At 42.3% G+C, this 17300-nt stretch overlaps 1 protein-coding gene and 1 pseudogene across 8 annotated transcripts in view, besides 4 other annotated features; one reads left to right on the top strand and one right to left on the bottom strand.

Moving 5' to 3' along the window:
* RALBP1 (ralA binding protein 1) overlaps positions 1-7881 on the bottom strand; it is a 63106-nt gene extending 55225 nt beyond the window's left edge. Inside the window, exons 1-3 of one of the 8 annotated variants that reach the window (XM_047437284.1) lie at positions 7066-7195; positions 6604-6696; positions 4368-4625 (exon numbers count right to left, since the gene is read on the bottom strand). The gene's annotated coding sequence lies outside the window, so the exon portion shown is untranslated. The other 7 variants (XM_047437282.1, XM_047437281.1, XM_047437280.1 and 4 more) reach the window with 7 other exon arrangements.
* IRX4P1 (iroquois homeobox 4 pseudogene 1) lies at positions 3947-4616 on the top strand (annotated as a pseudogene).
* Positions 6545-7413: an enhancer, noted in NCBI's record as "H3K27ac hESC enhancer chr18:9475475-9476343 (GRCh37/hg19 assembly coordinates)". NCBI's record gives its function as "activates a minimal SCP1, AML or CMV promoter by ChIP-STARR-seq in naive H9 embryonic stem cells {active_cell/tissue: H9 hESC(naive)}" and the evidence as "EXISTENCE:reporter gene assay evidence [ECO:0000049][PMID:30033119]".
* Positions 6545-7446: a biological region, named in NCBI's record as "H3K27ac hESC enhancer GRCh37_chr18:9475475-9476343".
* Positions 6747-6806: an enhancer, noted in NCBI's record as "active region_13075". NCBI's record gives its function as "activates an Ori minimal core promoter by ATAC-STARR-seq in GM12878 lymphoblastoid cells {active_cell/tissue: GM12878}" and the evidence as "EXISTENCE:reporter gene assay evidence [ECO:0000049][PMID:35858748]".
* Positions 7037-7446: a silencer, noted in NCBI's record as "silent region_9283". NCBI's record gives its function as "represses an Ori minimal core promoter by ATAC-STARR-seq in GM12878 lymphoblastoid cells {active_cell/tissue: GM12878}" and the evidence as "EXISTENCE:reporter gene assay evidence [ECO:0000049][PMID:35858748]".
* Positions 7882-17300: the final 9419 nt, after the last annotated feature.

Here is a 17300-nt window from a genome sequence, read left to right as displayed (position 1 = left end):
CCACAAGCTGCACATTGCCACCTGTACTTCTGACCAAATAGCTATAAATAGGGGTTCCCACAACCCCCTCCTCATGTTCAATAATTTGCAAGAATGGCTCACCGAAACTCAGGGAAACACTTTACTTATGCCTATCAGTTTATTATAAAGGATATAAATAAACCACCAAATCAAAAGGCACAAGGGTGAGGCCGAGATGGGTTCCAAGTATAGGAGTTTCTGTCCCATGAAGTTGAAGCAACACCTTCCCAGCATAAGGATGCATTCACCAACCCAGAATCTCTCTGAAAACCACTGTTTAGAAGATTTTATGGAGGTCCCATTTCACAGGCATGATTGATTACATCACTGGCCACTGATAACTGATCTCAATACCCAGTCCTCACCACCACCCCCTCACCCATCCAGGGGTGGGGCTGCAAGTTCCAACTCTCTAATCAACACAGTTGGTTCTTCTGGCAACCAGCTTCCATCCTGAAGTTGTCTAGGGGCCTACCAAGAATCACTTTATTAGCATAAATTCAGATGTGACTGAGAGACTTATTATGAATTCCAAAATATGCTCTATTACCTCTATTACTCAGGGAGTTCCAAGGATCTTTGAAGTTCTAGGCTAGGAACCAGACCAAGACCAAATATATATTTCTTATTGTATAACATCACACCCAGCAATTCTACTCCTAGGTATATACACAAGAAATGAAAACGTATGCCCGCACAAAAACTTGTACATGAATATTCACACCAGCATTATTCAGAATAGTCAAGAAGGAGAAACGACTTAGATGTTCAACTGATAAATGGATAAATGAAATGTGGTATATCCAGATAAGAGAGTACTGTTTTGCAATAAAAAATATGAAGTGCTAATATATCCTACAATATGGATGAACCCTGAAAACATTAAGTGAGGGAAAGCAGTTGCAAAAGATGATATATATGGTTTCATTTATATGAAATATCCAGAATATCTGAAATATCAAGAGATACAGAAGTAGATTAATGAGGGCAGGGGAAATAGTGAGTGACTACTGCTAATGGGGAGGTTTTTTTGGGGGAGTAATGAAAATGTTCTAAAATTGACTGTGGTGATGGCTGTACAACTCTGTATATACAGACTGTCCCCAACATACAATGTTTCAACTTGGGATTTTTCAACTTTACATGGTATCCATAAAATCATTCTGTTTTTCACTTTCAGTATGCAATAAATTACATGAGATATTCCACACTTTATTATAAAATAAACTTTGTGTTAGAGGATTTTGTAGGCTAATGTAAGTGTTCTGAGCATGTTTACAGTAGGCGAGGCTAAGCTATGATGTTAGGTGCATTAAATGCATTTTCCACTTACAATATTTTCGAATTGCTATAGGTTTATCAGGATGTAACTGTGTCGTAAGTAGAGAAAAGTAGAGAAGCATCTGTACTAAAAACCAATGAGACTGCGCGTGGTGGCTCATTGAGCCCAGCACTTTGGGAAGCCGAGAGAGGTGGATCACTTGAGCCCAGGAGTTTGAGACCAGCCTGGGCAATATGGCAAAACCCCGTCTCCACAAAAAAAATACAAAAAATTAGCCAGGCATAGTGGCACACACCCGTAGTCTCAGCTACTCAGGAGGCTGAAGTCGGAGGATCATCTATCTGAGCCTGGGAAGTCAAGCTGCAATAAGCTGTGGCTGCACCACTGCACTCCAGCATGGGTGACAGAGTGTGACTCTGTCTCAAAAAAAAAAAAAAAAAATTAAGTCACACAGACCAATGAATAACTACATGCTACATACCAATGAATTGTATAATTTAAAGGAGTGAATTTTATGGATACGTGAATTATATTTCAATAAAGCTGTTTTAAAAAAGAAAAGCAGGTTCAAGTCTTTGCCATGTTAAAAATCTGTTAACCCTTTATCACCCTCTGCTACCACCTCTTTCTATTCTCCCCTTCATGGCTAAAATTGATTTATTTATTATAATCTACATATGCTTTTCCACTCTCTAACCTCAACTCCTCAACTCAATGAAACCTACCTCGTCCCCCAACCATTCTATCAAAACTGTTCTCACACAGTTATCAAATTGAATAACCTCCTCAATACCAAATCAATAGACTCTTAATAACTTCTTTCGCTCAACTTTTCAAAGCATTTAAAGTATGGCTTTCCTTTTGTTTAGGCCAGGGTCCCACTCTGTCACCCATGCTGCAATGCAGTGGCACAATCACAGCTCACTGCAGCCGCAACCTCCCAGGATCAAGCGATCATCCCACCTCAGCCTCCTGAGTAGCTGGGACCACAGGTGTGCACCACCACAGCCAGCTAATTGCTTTTTTTTTGCAGAGACACCAGTCTCCCTATGTTTCCCAGGCTGGTCTCAAACTCTTTGGCTCAAGCAATCCTCCCACCTCAGCTTCCCAAAGTGCTGGGAGGACAGGTGTGAGCCACTGTGCCTGAGGCTTTCCTTTTTTAAAAAAAAAAATTAATTTCTATTTTTTCTTGAGAGTTGATTGTGAAGTATAACTTCCTTTAAAAATGATCCCAGCCCAATGCAGTGGCTCACACCTGTAATCCTAGCACTTGAGAGGCCAAGGCAGGCAGATCGCTTGAGCCCAGGAGTTCAAGACCAGCCTGGGCAACATGGCAAAACCCCATCCCTACCAAAAATACAAAAATTAGCCAGGTGTGGTGGTATGTGTCTGCAGTCCCAGCTACTTGAGTGGCTGAGGTAGGAGGATGGCTTGAGCCCAGGAGGCGGAGGTTGTAGTGAGCTGTGATGGTGCCAGATCCCACTTTGGCTTCTATGACATTTTCTCATGATTTCTCTACATCTCCAAACACTTAGGAATTTCCTTTCCCAGCTCTTCTTCTATCTGGCTTTAAATGTTCTCCACAGCCTATTTCCAGAACTATTTTATGTTAACAAACTCTTCTTATTTGGTGTTATCTAAATCAAAGAATTCAGATACCACTCATAATATAGCCTGTTATACTGTACTCCAAATCCACATTCACAGTTCCATAGCAGATGATTCCACCTGGATGTTTCACAGATAACTTCCACTCAATATGTTCTGAAGCTAAAATACTGTTTCTCCTCAAATGTGCTTCTCTTCCTGAATTCCCCATCTCAGTATATTTTACCATTGTCTCTTCAATCACCCAAGTTAAAATCCAAGTCATCTTATTCTATTATTTTTCCCTCACTCCCCATATCCAATTGTTGCTGAATCCTATGAATTCTACTTTCTAAATATTTCTATTACCCTCCTCCTCCATAACCCCTCTAACATTGCCTTAGTTTGGACCCTTATTTCTCACTTCGATTAGTGCAAAAACCTCCTAAACAGTCTTTCTACATCCATTCTTACCTTCTCTCCATCCCTTCTGAAATCCTTACTCTACAATTCCAGAATGATCTTTCTAAAATAAAAATCTTGGCCGGACATGGTGGCTTACACGTGTAATCCCAGCACTTTAGGAGGCCGAGGAGGGTGGACTGCCTGAGCTCAAAGTTTAAGACCAGCCTGGGCAACACAGCAAAACTCCATCTCTACAAAAAAAAAAATACCAAAAAATTAGCCAGGTGTGGTGGCGTTCACCTGTGGTCCCAGCTACTCGTGAGGCTGAGGTGGGAGGATCGCTGGAGCCTGGGAGGTCGAGGCTGCAGTGAGCCATGACGGAGTGCGGTGAGTGCCACTTCATTTCAGCCTGGGTGACACAGTGAGACCTTATCTCAAAAAAGTAAAAAAAAAATAAAAAGAAAAATCTTATCATGTCTCTCTGTTCATTAAAATACATAAACCCTATTGTTATCTACAGGAAAAAATGGTAAGGTCCTTGGAATGGCACGCAATACTTTTGAGGATACCTGCAACCTCATCTTCTGCTACTTATCACCACAACTAATGCTACAGCTACAGAAAACAACTTCCCATTCTCTTCCATATTCTGTGCTGACTGCACCCCTGGCCCGCGCGTGCCTTTCCGCCTGCCGCGCCCCAGGACACCCCAGCTCTGGGCGCCACCAGGGAGCTGCTCGCCCTGACCAAGGCCGGCGGCAAACCCTTCTGCGCCTGAGGCAGGCTGGCCTCTAGCTCGGTAGGAAACCCGCGCTCAGGCGGACAGCGCCGACTCTTTTTACTGAGTTTCCAGAGGAAGACTAGCCCAGCTACCGCGAAGCTGCCAATCCACCGGAGAGGGGGCTTCTGAACCCGGACTCCTGGGAACGTCGACAAGCACGGCACTACTACACCGAGGCCTCCACCGCCTGGGCCTGAGCACGGCCGGGCCATTCCCAAACTCGGGACGCAGGAGAGGATCTCGGAGAAGAAGAGGCCACCCTGAAGCACACAGTTTACGTCAAAAGTTTACATGGAGAAGGCGGTTCCGTTCTGAAGCGCGGTCTGCTGTCCTTTTGGGCGCGAGGCATGTGGTGTTCGCTGTGAAGCCTCCTGGGCCTGTTGGTCCTCCGATTTCATCCTCGGGACATAATGCTTACCAACAGTACTTGCACTGAGTTGACACTCGTGCACTCTTGACTCCAGATGTTTTTCAAAATGTATGTTCACACCAATAATTGCCTACTTCAGAGGCTAATAAGACAAAACCAATAAAACTGAGTGATGGTGTCTGTATTGGGAAAAAAAAAAGTGTTCCATGTTCTTTCTCACCTACGTTTCTGCCCACCTTTCCCTCTAAAAGTTCCTTCCCCATCCCTGCCCTAGCCCCCCAATTTCTGCATTAGTCATGACTAAGCCTTCTTTAAGCTTAAGGACATAAAATATACAGTACCTAATACAGTGCCTGACCTATAGCAGAGGGTTAAAAATGGGCTGAGCTGGCTTAGGTCTCTTCTTTGTCCTCTCAATGACTCCTATTTGCTTATAAAATAAAATTGTAATTATTCTGATGGTCTGCAAGATCCATAATTTGGTCTCTGCCTATCTCCCCAGTTTCAGGTCTTGCCACCACCCTGTATTATACTTGCTATTTTTGCAGATGCTACTCTCTAATTTTAGACTCCCATGCTTTTTCTCACACTGCTCCTTCTACCTAAATGCCCATTCTTTCTATGCCTGTACACTCCTGATTTTCATCACCTTCTACATAGTTTTTCCTTACAGTTTCCCTCTTCTTCAGCTCTTTTCTTCACTTTAAGAAACTGACCACTATCTCCTTTGTACATCCACTGTACCCGCATATGTTCTTCAATCAAAACAATCTTGTACTTGTTGACAGTTAAAGTAAGAGATAAGGTTCAACTACCCTGAAGGCAGGAACACTGCCTTCTGTATCTTTAAGTCCTCTTCACCTGGTCACAGTACTTTCTACATAGTAATTCCTGTATTCTAAATAATCTGCATTTTTCCTTGTACCCTCTTATACAAACTAACATAAGTTTCTATCAGGGATCTTTCAAAACAGAAACAATATTCTTTTGGGTTACATGCTGGGCCCGATCTCTTCTTGCCAAGCAAACAACTATGCAAATATAACTGTACAAATTAAAGTTATTATGCACTTTCTGATACCACTTTCCTATTCTAAATTAGGGGAGAAATAGTCTGGATAAGATCCATAATTAGAAACAATATCCTGAAGAGAAAGCAAACTAAGTTGTATTACATTGTTTCGAGATACCTTGTTTAAAGAGTCACTTCTCAAAAGCTACTACTGTTGGCAGGGCGCGGTGGCACACGCCTGTAATCCCAGCGCTTTGGGAGGCCTAGGCGGGCAGATCACCTGAGGTCGGGAGTTCAAGACCAGCCTGACCAACATGGAGAAAATGTCTCTACTAAAAATATAAAATTAGCCGGGCGTGATGGCGCATGCCTGTAATCCCCTCAGGAGGCTGAGGCAGCAGAATCGTTTGAACCCAGGAGGCAGAGGCTGTGGTGAGCTGAGATCATGCCATTGCACTCCAACCTGGGCAACAAGAGCGAAACTCTGTCTCAAAAAATAAAAAACTAAAAAAAAAAAAAAAAAGCTACTGTTAACTAACCTACCCCACTTGGATCTACCAGATACTTTGAATGAGAGGTGGAAACCACTCTACTGACCTCCTTCCTACCCCTACTACCGCCACTCCAGCTTACAGTAATTATTTTCACAAAGACAGAAAGGAGTTATCAAATGACCACAATAACTCTAAAAACAGAAAGTGAGGTGATCTTTCTTATTCACAGTCCCACTTATTCATTTAGAAATGCTGAGCACCAAAACAAAACCTTATCACAAGTTCAGTATTTCGTTAATAACTGCCAAGTATAATGGAATACTCCCCAAAGTACTGCAGCATTAGAACATGACCACTCCACTAAATTAAAAATTCAGCGAAAGCTTTTCTAACAAGGCTGGATGGAGCACTAACTCAACGGCCAAACGGCTGCACTTCCTGTATATGCACGTTCAAAACACCTCGAATTAACATGCTAGGGACCTTGAAGAATTGTACTAGGCCTTGCTCAAGAGGAAGGCTTTGTAATACTGAATCCCAAAACTTGAAACAGCAGAATTACTTCAGGGAAGACGGAGGTGTTAAATATTCTGTAAAACCTGTTTCACTCTCACAACGATCAGTTTTAAAAAAAAGAGGGAGAACACTGACCTCATTAAGAGCATTCTGACAACACACATAGTTGAACATGAGTTGTGAAAAGAATTTTCAACTTCAGATCTGTCTGTCCATTCCCACTGAAACCTGAAGGAAGGATCGCAGCACCCAAAGGCGCCCACTGCTCAGTGCCAGCGGTGGGCGACACCAGGAGCCTGTCCTGGTCCCCTGGGTAAGCCCTGGAGCCTGGCCACTATGCCGGGCACGATCCACCAACCGTGAGGGCTGGGTCCCCTAGCCTCTGTCCAGGCGCCCCCCAAGAGCTTCCCCGAGGCCTGGGGACTCCTAACTCTCCACCCCCGGCCCCCGAGAGCACCACAAACGAGGACGCCACGAAGGGAGGCCCGTCGGCCAGTGGGAGGGACGCACGGCCAAGGGGGGCGAAAACTGGGGCGAAGCTTTCCGGGGAGGAACCCACGCCAGGGGCAGCCACGCCCCCCACCCCCAACTTCAAACCCGAGCGCTGCGAGCACCGAGCCCCACACGCTGCCTGACAGACGCGGGCGCGAGGCCGGCGCGGGAGAGGGTTCCTCGGGCACTCCAGGGGTATCGCCGCGACCCTAGCACGCGACCGCTCCCTGCGACTGACCTGTGCCTGCCGCCGCGCGACCGTCCGCCCCGCCGCAGCCTCCGCCTCCTCGCGCTCACGCTGCCGCCGCAGCCACCGGAGCCGCCTCCTGCGCTGCGCCCCAGGCCGGCCTCGGGCGCCCCATTCCCACCCCGCCCAGCCTCTGCCTGTTTACAATGATTGGGACGGAACGGGACGAGGCGGTCCAGCGCGCACGCGCATTCCCTCCTCCCGCCGCAGCCGGCTTCCCGGATCCTCCTCTCCGCTCAGACGGCTGAAGCCGTCAAGGGCAGGCGACCTGGGCTCTCGCGCGGGGCGCGCTGGGAGGCGTAGTTCCCAAGGCCCCGGCGTCCAGCCAGCCCGAAGGCCTCTCGCCAAGGAAGCAAACTACAACACCCAGGAGGCACCGCGCCCCCTTCGTCCCCAGGCTCGCTGAGGAGACTGAAGAAGAGCGCGAGAGAACGCGCCGAGGGCCAGTGCTCTGCAGGCGCCTGCGCAGTCGGTGGCCTTGCGGGTTTCGGGGACGGACGGCTTACCCCGGTGTGGTGCTGGCGAAGGTGGCTCGCGGGCATCTCCTGCAACGGCCTTGAGGATGGAAAGGGCTTTCCTCTCCACGCTCTGGCCAGCCTGCGCCTCAGCTCCCGAAGTTGAGAGCTTTCCTTGCGCCAGCGTGCTTTAGTCGTTCCAACCAGTTAAACCAGACTGGGGGCCGCCCGGCTGGCCGCTGGGTGGGGCGGCTGCCCCGCCTTCGACTGGGTGTGGGATTGGAGGAAAGAGCGCCGTGGGCCTGTAGGGATAGGCGGGAATAAACCTCTGTCGGGAACATCCACGGAATTCCTGAAGCGGGTGTGGGCTTCTGCAGGGCTTCAGCGCGCCCCCGGCTCAGCAGTTACCGAGCAGCCCCCGAGGAAAGCTGCCCAGTCCGTGTTTGGCTGGCAGTAGAGATAACTGAATTTCTTCGAGAAGCCTTTCACCCAGGCTTGTTGAGTTGCTCTGCTAATGCGTAGCGAAGGCTGGAAACGGCTTCAGCAGTCTTCGTGTTTTCTGAAATGTGGCAGTTTATTAGGGGAGAGGAGGGACTTGGAATAGACGACCCTACCTGTCACTCGCATTCCTACGTGCAGCACTCTGTGGCACTTCGTTGCCCGTTTAGATTGGCCGCTGCTATCCATCTTGCTCTCTGCTCCCACATCAGCTTTCCTCAAAGCGGGCGGTAAATTTGTCCCTAGTACTCTGCGCTCCCTACTCAGTAAAGTTCAACCCCTGGGGCCTTAGATTCATTCAGGGGCCTCCCACGAGTGGATACGGGATGGTCTGAGGTAGCCATTGGTCTTTGACTTTCGGAAAAGCCTTCTCATGGCTCCTCTCGCAGTAGAACAGTCTTCTCTGACCACTGGGTTGGGCAGGTGAGCATGGCAGTGACAATTCTCTGCCTGTGACAGCACTGATTCGGCCAAGGGGCAGGCACTGATCCACGCTGGGCCTTATGGAGGCCTTGCCTGAAGCTGCTATGTGGATGCAGGAGGGGAGCAGAGGGAGTTTTCTACTGAGGCAATTGCTGATGGACGTGTTTCTTGCAACATCGAGTGGCCTAGCCAAAGGTGAGGGTGTGAAAGAGAAGAAAGGAGAAATGGAAAGGGAGAAAGAGCTGGCAGAATGTAGACCGTGGTTTCATTTGGAGGGCATGGTTTGTGGAGCTCTTTAAGTGCTGTGAGCATGTGAGCCTAAGTGGGTGAGCCCACTCATTCATTGATTTATTATTTGGAGCCAATATGTGTGGATATTGAATGTATTTGTTGGCTGCCACTTGAGCATTTATTCCTTCCATTTAAGCCAGGCAACATAACCATTCCCTCTAGCAGCAGAGATGGTCACAAGCCCAGTCAGAAACAATGAACCCACAAAGACTGGGGCTGAGGCTTCCAGTAAACTGTAGCTTCCTTGCTCCTCTAGCATGGTGTAAGTATATGATGCCTGGAAATGTGGCAACCGTTTTCCTCCTATAAGGGGAAACCCTAGAGGGATGGGAGTTTAGAGGGACAGCAACAAGTAGAGCCTGGGGTTGAAGTCAGTACTGTCAAATGAATGCGGGAAAGATGGAGAAGAACCTTGTGTTTGGTGGCATGATTTGAGCTGCAGTATCAAACCTCACCTGTTTGATTCTATGGACTATCCTATAGACTATTCGGGATTGTGAGCAAGGCCATCTTACAGACTATCCAGAATTGTGAACCACAAATTTCCTGTACTGTTTAAGCCAGTTCATATTAAAATTCTAAAAGTCCTAACTAATTCAGTTGAATTTCTTTTACATGACTCTGAAAGGTCCTAACTAATACAGGTTCCTACGTAAAAAACTGTGGAAGGGACTTTTAGCTATGTCTGTGTGGCATAGTCAGCAATTCTCTGCACACAAAACCAGTATAAAATTGGATAAATTGGCAAAAACAACCATTTCAGAGCACTGGAAATCAAACAAATACAGAAAACAATTTGAGAAACATCTATTCTTCAGAAACAGCTAGCAGGGACAGTAGATGTCTGTGGCCTTCTGGCCTGAGGCTGCTTCTCTCCCACCCTGTTGCACCAGAACTGCAGTTTTGCCAGTGTGGGTAGGAATAGCCAAGAAAACTAGCAGCTTTGCTGCCAAAGGGATGGACTCAATTTGGGGCGGGTGGTCAAAAACCCAAGGCTTTGCCAACTAAAAGTGACAAACTCATATGGAAATGAACAGGGCAAACCCACAGCTGTGCTTACCTGAGGTTACAGTCCCAGGTGGGGCAAATGGCAAGCCAGTCAAAAATATAACAGGGAGATTTTAGAAATAAGAGTCATTGAAGAGTTATGGTCACACCACCTCACTCCAGCCTGTACTTTTCAACTCTAGAAATATCATCCTTTTTTATAGAGTCTACTTCCCCACAGAAATACTCTATTTGTTAATTACATCTCCACACATCTCTGACTGATTGGGAAACTATGCATCTGCCTGGGGTTGACCCAAGAGACCTGTTAAGTAAATCCAAGGGAGACTTGAGAACTGGTGGCAACTGTGAATGTATTCCTTAATCCACACACAGATCCATTAGCAGAGGGAAGAAGACTCCCAAATCAAGGTGTTTGAGTGCAACCACTGCCAAATCATTGACTAGCCACAGCTATGCAAACACAGGGACAAAGCCCAGAAAGTCAGGGTAAATATAAAAATGTGAATTGAAAAACAGAGCAAAGATACCAGCAGCCACAGGCCATATAGAGACAGATTTTAAATCTGTGTAAATCCAGGAAGATAAAACAACAACAACAACAACAACAAAACTAAGAAAAATAAAACATCTAGAATTGCTGCAATATATGAAATATCTGCTTTTCAACCAACAATCATGGTTTATGCAAAGAAACAGTAAAGTGTCACCCACTCTGAGGAAGAAAATAGCAACCAATAGAAACAGACCCATTGGGCTCAAATACTGGATTCAGAAGCAAACTCTTGAAAGTAGGTCTTATAATTATGTTTTAAAAAGTAAACATTTTTCAAAGAATTAAAGGAAAATATAATGATAATTCTTTAACATATAAAGGATATCAATAGGGAAATGATTCTATAAAAATGAAATTTCTAGAGTTGAAAAATATAGAAGAGAAATATAAATTGTATTACATAATCTCAGTGAAAGATTTGAGATGGCAAAAAAGGTGTACTTGAAGATAGAGAAATTATCGTATTCAAAAAACAGAAAAATGAAGTAAAAGAAGAGCTATAATGACACATCCATAAAAAAGAGGATATTTTTAGCAATAAGCCAGACTCAAGGACATAGACTGTAGCTTTAAATAGAAAAAGAAAAAACAGGGAATGTAAACTAGTACAACCACTATGGAAAACAGTATGGAGTTTCCTTAAACAACTAAAAGTAGAACTACCATTTGATCCAGCAATCCCACTATTGGGTATCTATGCAAAGGAAAAGAAGTCATTATATGAAAAACATATGCACACACATGTTTATAGCAGCACAATTTGCAATTCAAAAGATATAGAACCAACCTGGGTGTCCATCAACCAATGAGTGGGTAAAGAAAATGTGATATATATATAATATCTTATATAATATATATAATATATATGATATATCATATATTATTATAATATATATAATATATATATATATATACCATGAAATACTACACAGCCATAAAAAGGAATGAAATAGTCTTTTGCAGCAACTTGGGTGAAGCTGGAGGCCATTATTCTAAATGAAGCAACTCAGGAATGGAAAACCAAATACCGTGTGTTCTCACTTATACTTGGGAGCTAAGCTATGAGAATGCAAAGGCATAAGAATGATATAGTGGACTTTGGGGACTTGGGGCGGGGCAGGGAAAAAGGATAGGAGGAGGGTGAGGGATAAAAGACTACGTATTGGGTACAGTGTACACTGCTCAGGATACAGGTGCACGAAAATGTCAGAAATTACCACTAGAGAACTTACCCGTGTAACTAAAAACCACCTGTACCCCCAAAACTATTGAAATAAAATAAAAATTATTAAAAAAGAATACCTACATAAAGAAAACATGCAAACAAAAATCTTAAAATTTTACCTGCATATAGATAACCATTAATAATAGCTTGGTATATCTCTCAGCCTTTGGGGTGTGTATGTATATTTTTTAGCATAACATTTTATTTTACTTCATTTGCTAAAACTAATGAAACCTGAATTTGGATTATTGAGACAAAAATCATACTGCAGAAAAGCACTAATTTTATTAAATTAAATATTGGAAGGGTTGGGGTTTTTTTTTTTTTTAGTGTTTTAGGTTTTTTTGTTTGTTTTGTCTTGCTATATGATGTTCAGGAACTACCATTCAATGAATTTGACAGATAAAGTTTGAACATATTGGTAGGGAAATAAGCCAATGATTTGAATTACTTATCTATACAGAAGAAATAGTTTTAAGATTTAAGACCATATGAAATAAACTGGGTTAAACTAGGAAAAAAAATGGTATTAATGAGAGAAAGAGCATGGTAGCACTTTTTATATTAGAGATCATAGGTAAATATCAGCTGTTATAATTTTTATTAAATATCAAACATCAACCGGGCATGGGCGGCTCACGCTTGTAATCCCAGCACTTTGGGAGGCCAAGGCAGACAGATCACCTGGGGTCAGGAGTTCAAGACCAGCCTGATCAACATGGAGAAACCCCGTCTCTAACCCCGTCTCTGTATTTGTATTCTCTAAAAAATACAAAATTAGCCGGGCATGGTGGCACATGCCTGTATTCCAGCTACTCAGGAGGCTGAGGCAGGAGAATTGCTTGAACCCAGGAGGTGGAGGTTGCGGTGAGCTGAGATCGCGCCATTGCACTCCAGCATGGGCAAAAAGAGCAAAACTCCACCTCAAAAAAAAAAAAACATCATTTTACCGGAGAATGAAACAAATTATTACATAATAGAGAATCATGAACCAAAATCAACAGTATTTACCTAATAAAGCTCAGGTTGACAGTTAAAATAATAATAAGAGAAAGAAAGAAGAGCCTCAGAGACCTGTAAAATTATGTCAGATATCCCAACAAACATGAAATGAGAGTCCCAGAAAGATAGGAGAGGGAGAAAAGAGGGCTAGAATTTTTTGAAATAATAATGCTAAAAAGTCCCCAAATTTGATTAAAAAAAAAACCCTACAAATACAAGAAGTTCTAATGAACACAAAGTAAGATAAACACAAAGAAAACTGCACCTAGATACAGCATAGTCAAACTGCTGAAAGCCAAGAACAAAAGAAAATCCTGAAAGTGGCAAAAGAAAAATGAGTCATTGGGGAAAAACAATGTGACATAGAGCTGACTTCTCATCAGCAACACAAGAGCTCATAAGGCATTGGAATGATATATTTAAGGTGTTAAGTGAGGGGGGAACTGTCAACCAAGAATTCTGTATCTAGTGAAACTATCTTTCAAAAAGGAAAGTGAAATAAAGACATTCCCAGAAAAACAAACCTGAGAGAATTTGTTAGTAGCAAACCTGCCCTCCAAGAAATATTAAAGGAAGTTCTTCAGAGTGAAAAGAAATTGCAGGAGAGTATAACTCTGATATGTAGAAAGGAATGAAGATGAGAAATTTTTAAAATATGTTAAAAAATATAAAAAGGCTATACACACAATTTTCTTAATGTCTTTTAAAAATATGATTAAAGCAATAATTTTATACTATATTGTTGATATTATATAAATGGAATATGTATGACAGTGATAGCACAAAATAAGGAGGAGGAAATGGTACTATATCAGAGCAAATTGACTGTAGTTTACTGAAATTAAGTTAGTATTAGCCTGAAAGAGATTGTGTTAAGTTAAAGATACATGTCTCAGTTCATTTGGTTCAACTATAACAAAATTGTACAGATTGGATAATTTATAATAAGTGGAAATTATTCTCACAGTTCTGGCATCTGGGAAGTCCAAGATCAAGGTGCCAGCATCAGTCAAGGGCTTTCTAATTGCGTCATCACATGACAGATGGCAGAAGAGCAAGATAGAAGAGAGACCTTGCCCTTCGACTTCTAGCTCTTTTATAAGGGTCCTGAAACCACTTTTGCAAAAAATTATAGCAGTGAGAAAATTATGACTGCGAAAGAGATCTGACCTAACCAATTCCATCTTGCCTTTAACCTCCAAACTGCCCCTGATTATTCCTGGGCATGAGCTAAGCTAACTTTGGGAGAAATTTAGTTTATAGTTTAAATGATAATAGCCCCTTCCAAAACTAAATTGCCTTTGTAAAACTAATAAAAATCCACCAGGTTAGGAGGATGAGAGGAGTCTAAATTCTGCTAAGATATACACATAGTTAAATGATTACCAGCCATTATTCTGGAGATCACAAGGCTTACAGCTTCCCCAATTACTAGAACCTAAGATCACCCTTTTGAGATGTCTTTTCAGGCTTTTGCATTTCTGATGACTGGATGGCCTCATCTGAACCAGTGGCTCTTCTAAGGCCTCCACCCAAAACTGGACTCAGCACTTGAGGACCATTTTCCACATCCCTACAATTGCATCCCCAGCCAATTAGCAACACCCATTCTCTAGCCACTGCCTGTCAAACTATCCTTGAAAAACCCTAGACTCTGAATTTTGGAGGGGGGTGGGGCAGATTTGAGTAATGATAAAACTCTGGTCTCCTGTTTAGCCAAATCGATGTATATTAAATTCTGCATTGCAATTCCCCTATCTTGTTAAATAGGCTGTATCTTGGCAGTGGGCACAATGAATCCTTTGAACAGTTATAGCCCTCATCTTATCCATGAGGGGCTCCACCTTCTTGACTTAATTTACTTTTTTTTTTTTTTTTTTTTGAGACAGAGTCTCATTCTGTCACCCAGGCTGGTGTGCAGTGGCTGCTCATTGCAGCCTCTACCTCCCAGGTTCAAGCAATTCTCATGCCTCAGCCTCCCGAGTAGCTGGGATTACAGGTGCACACCACCACGTCCAGCTAATTTTTGTGTTTTTTTGGTTTTTTTGTTTGTTTGTTTGTTTGTTTTAGTAGAGACAGGGTTTTACCATGTTGGCCAGGCTGGTCTTGAACTCCTTACCTCAAGTGATCTGCCTGCCTTGGCCTCCCAAAGTCCTGGGATTACAGACATGCACCACCACACCCAGCCTCTTAATTACCTCTTAATACTATCACCTTGGGAATTAGGTTTTAACTACAAATTTTGGAAGAGACACAAACATTCAAACCGTAGTATACATTGTATTCCTTAGAATAACCAATAAAAAAGTAATTTAAAATAATTTAGGTGAAATAAATAAGTGTAAAACTGTATTAAGTAAAATTAAGTAATTTTTTAATGAGATGATGTCTTATTTTGCCACCCAGGCTGGAGTACAGGGGCACAAACATAGCTCACTGTAACGTCGAACTTCTGGGCTCAAGCAATCCTCCCACCTCAACATTATGAGTAGCTAGGACCACAAGTATGCACCACCATATCCAGCTAATTTTTAAATTATTTCAGAGATTGGGTCTCACTATGTTACCCAGGCTGGTCTTGAACTCTTGGCCTCAAGTGATCCTTCCACCTCAGCCTTGTGAGTAGCTGGGATTACAGGCAAATTAAGTAAAACTAAAATGTTAAAAATATAGCTAAGAAATCAACAAAGGAATTAAAATTGTACACTAATCTGGGCACAGTGGTGTGTGGCTGTAGTCGTAGCTACTCGGGAGGCTGAGGCAGGAGGATCACTTGAGCCTAGGTGTTTGAGGCCAGCCTGGGCAATCTGGGCAATATACAAAATCCCAACTCCAAACAAACAAACAAACAAACAAACCAGAAAAGGAGGAACAGAGGAACTCAACAACAACAAAAAACAAGCAATTCAATTAAAAAACAGACAAAGGACATGAATAGACATTTCTCCAAAGAATATATACAAATGATAAATAAACATATGAAAAGATGCTCAACATTATTAGTCATTAGGGAAATGCAATTCAAAACCACAATGACATACCACCGTATACTCATTAGGATGGCTACTATTTAAAAACAAAACAAAACAAAACAAAAAACAGAAAATACAAGTGTTGCCAAGGATGTGGAAAAATTGGAAACTCTGTGCACTTCTGGAAAGAATCTGAAATAGTGCAGCTGCTATAGAAGACAGTATAATGGTTCCTTTAAAAATTAAAAATAGAATTAGCATGTGATCCAGGCATTCCATTTCTGGGCTTATGCCCAAAAGAATTTAAATGAGGAACTTGAAGAAATATTTGTACACCCATGTTCATAGCAATATTATTTGCAATAGTCAAAATATGGAAGTAACCCATGTCCATTAGTAAATAAATGGGTAAGTAAAATGTGGTCCATAGATACAAAAGAATATTATTCAGCCTCAAAAAGAAGGAAATTCTGACACATGCTACAGTATGGATGGGCTTTGAGGGCATTATGTTTAGTGAAATAAGCCAGTCACAAAATGACAAATACTTTATGATTACACTTATATAAGGCTCCTAGAGAAGTCAAATTCATAGAGATGAAAAGTAGAATGGTGGTTACCTGGGGCTGTGCACAGGAGAGAATTGGAAATTATTATTTAATGTGTATAAAGTTTCCATTTTGCAAGAAAAGAGAGATGAATGGTTGCACAACAATGTGAATGTTCTTTATGACTCTGAACTGTACACTTTAAAATGGTTAAGATGGTAAATTTTATGTTATGCGTATTATGCCACAATCAAAAACAATAATAATAAAAAGGAGGAACAAAGAAAAAAGAAAGATAAGGCATACAGAAAACAAACTTCAAATAGCAAGCGTAAATCAAACTATGTCAGTAATTACATTAAATGTAAATGGACTAAACCCTGCAATCAAAAGGAAAAGACTGCCAAGCTGGATTCAAAACCAAAAGCAAGTCCCACTATAGACTGTCTGAAAGAGACATACTCTAGATCTAAAGACACTTATCATTTGAAAGAAATAAGATGGAAACAGATATACCATGCAAGTAGTGATCACAAGAAAGTTGAATCAGCTGTTAACACCACACAAAATATGCTTCAAGACAAGGAATATTACAAGAGAGAAAGAGGGGCATTTCATAATGATAAAAGGGTAAATACATCAGGAAGAGATAAAAATTGTAAATATACATGCATCTAATGTCATATGTGGCATAAGAATTTTATCTGAATAATGCTGTTATCTAAAAAACAGATATAAGAGTTGACTAAAATATTTTAAAGATATCCCCATCCTTGAAAGAATAAAGTATAAGATTCCATAAGGCCTGTTGCCTATATCCTTAGTACTGGTACCTGAGGCCTCTTCCCTAAACAGTTCATTGGGTAAAAACACTGTTACGTAATTGAAATTTTCTATTTTGTATATTTAAAAGATATGATATTTAGAACTCATTACAAAAACAATGTCAGAACTGTATGAGTTTGCCTTTGCTCTTTGTAATAATTCACCTCACAACATATTAGCCTTAAACAACTGTTCTTCTGCTGGTCTTGCCTATGATCACTCAGTTGTAGCCAGTTGGTGGTTTCAGTGGGGGCTAGGCTTAGCTGAGGCACCTAGGGTGGCTGATCCAC

This window comes from Homo sapiens, chromosome 18, assembly GCF_000001405.40.
Source record: "Homo sapiens chromosome 18, GRCh38.p14 Primary Assembly".
NCBI classification, from domain to species: domain Eukaryota; kingdom Metazoa; phylum Chordata; class Mammalia; order Primates; family Hominidae; genus Homo; species Homo sapiens.
Note: the sequence above shows the minus strand (reverse complement) of the source record. Positions and strands in the feature narration are given on the sequence as shown.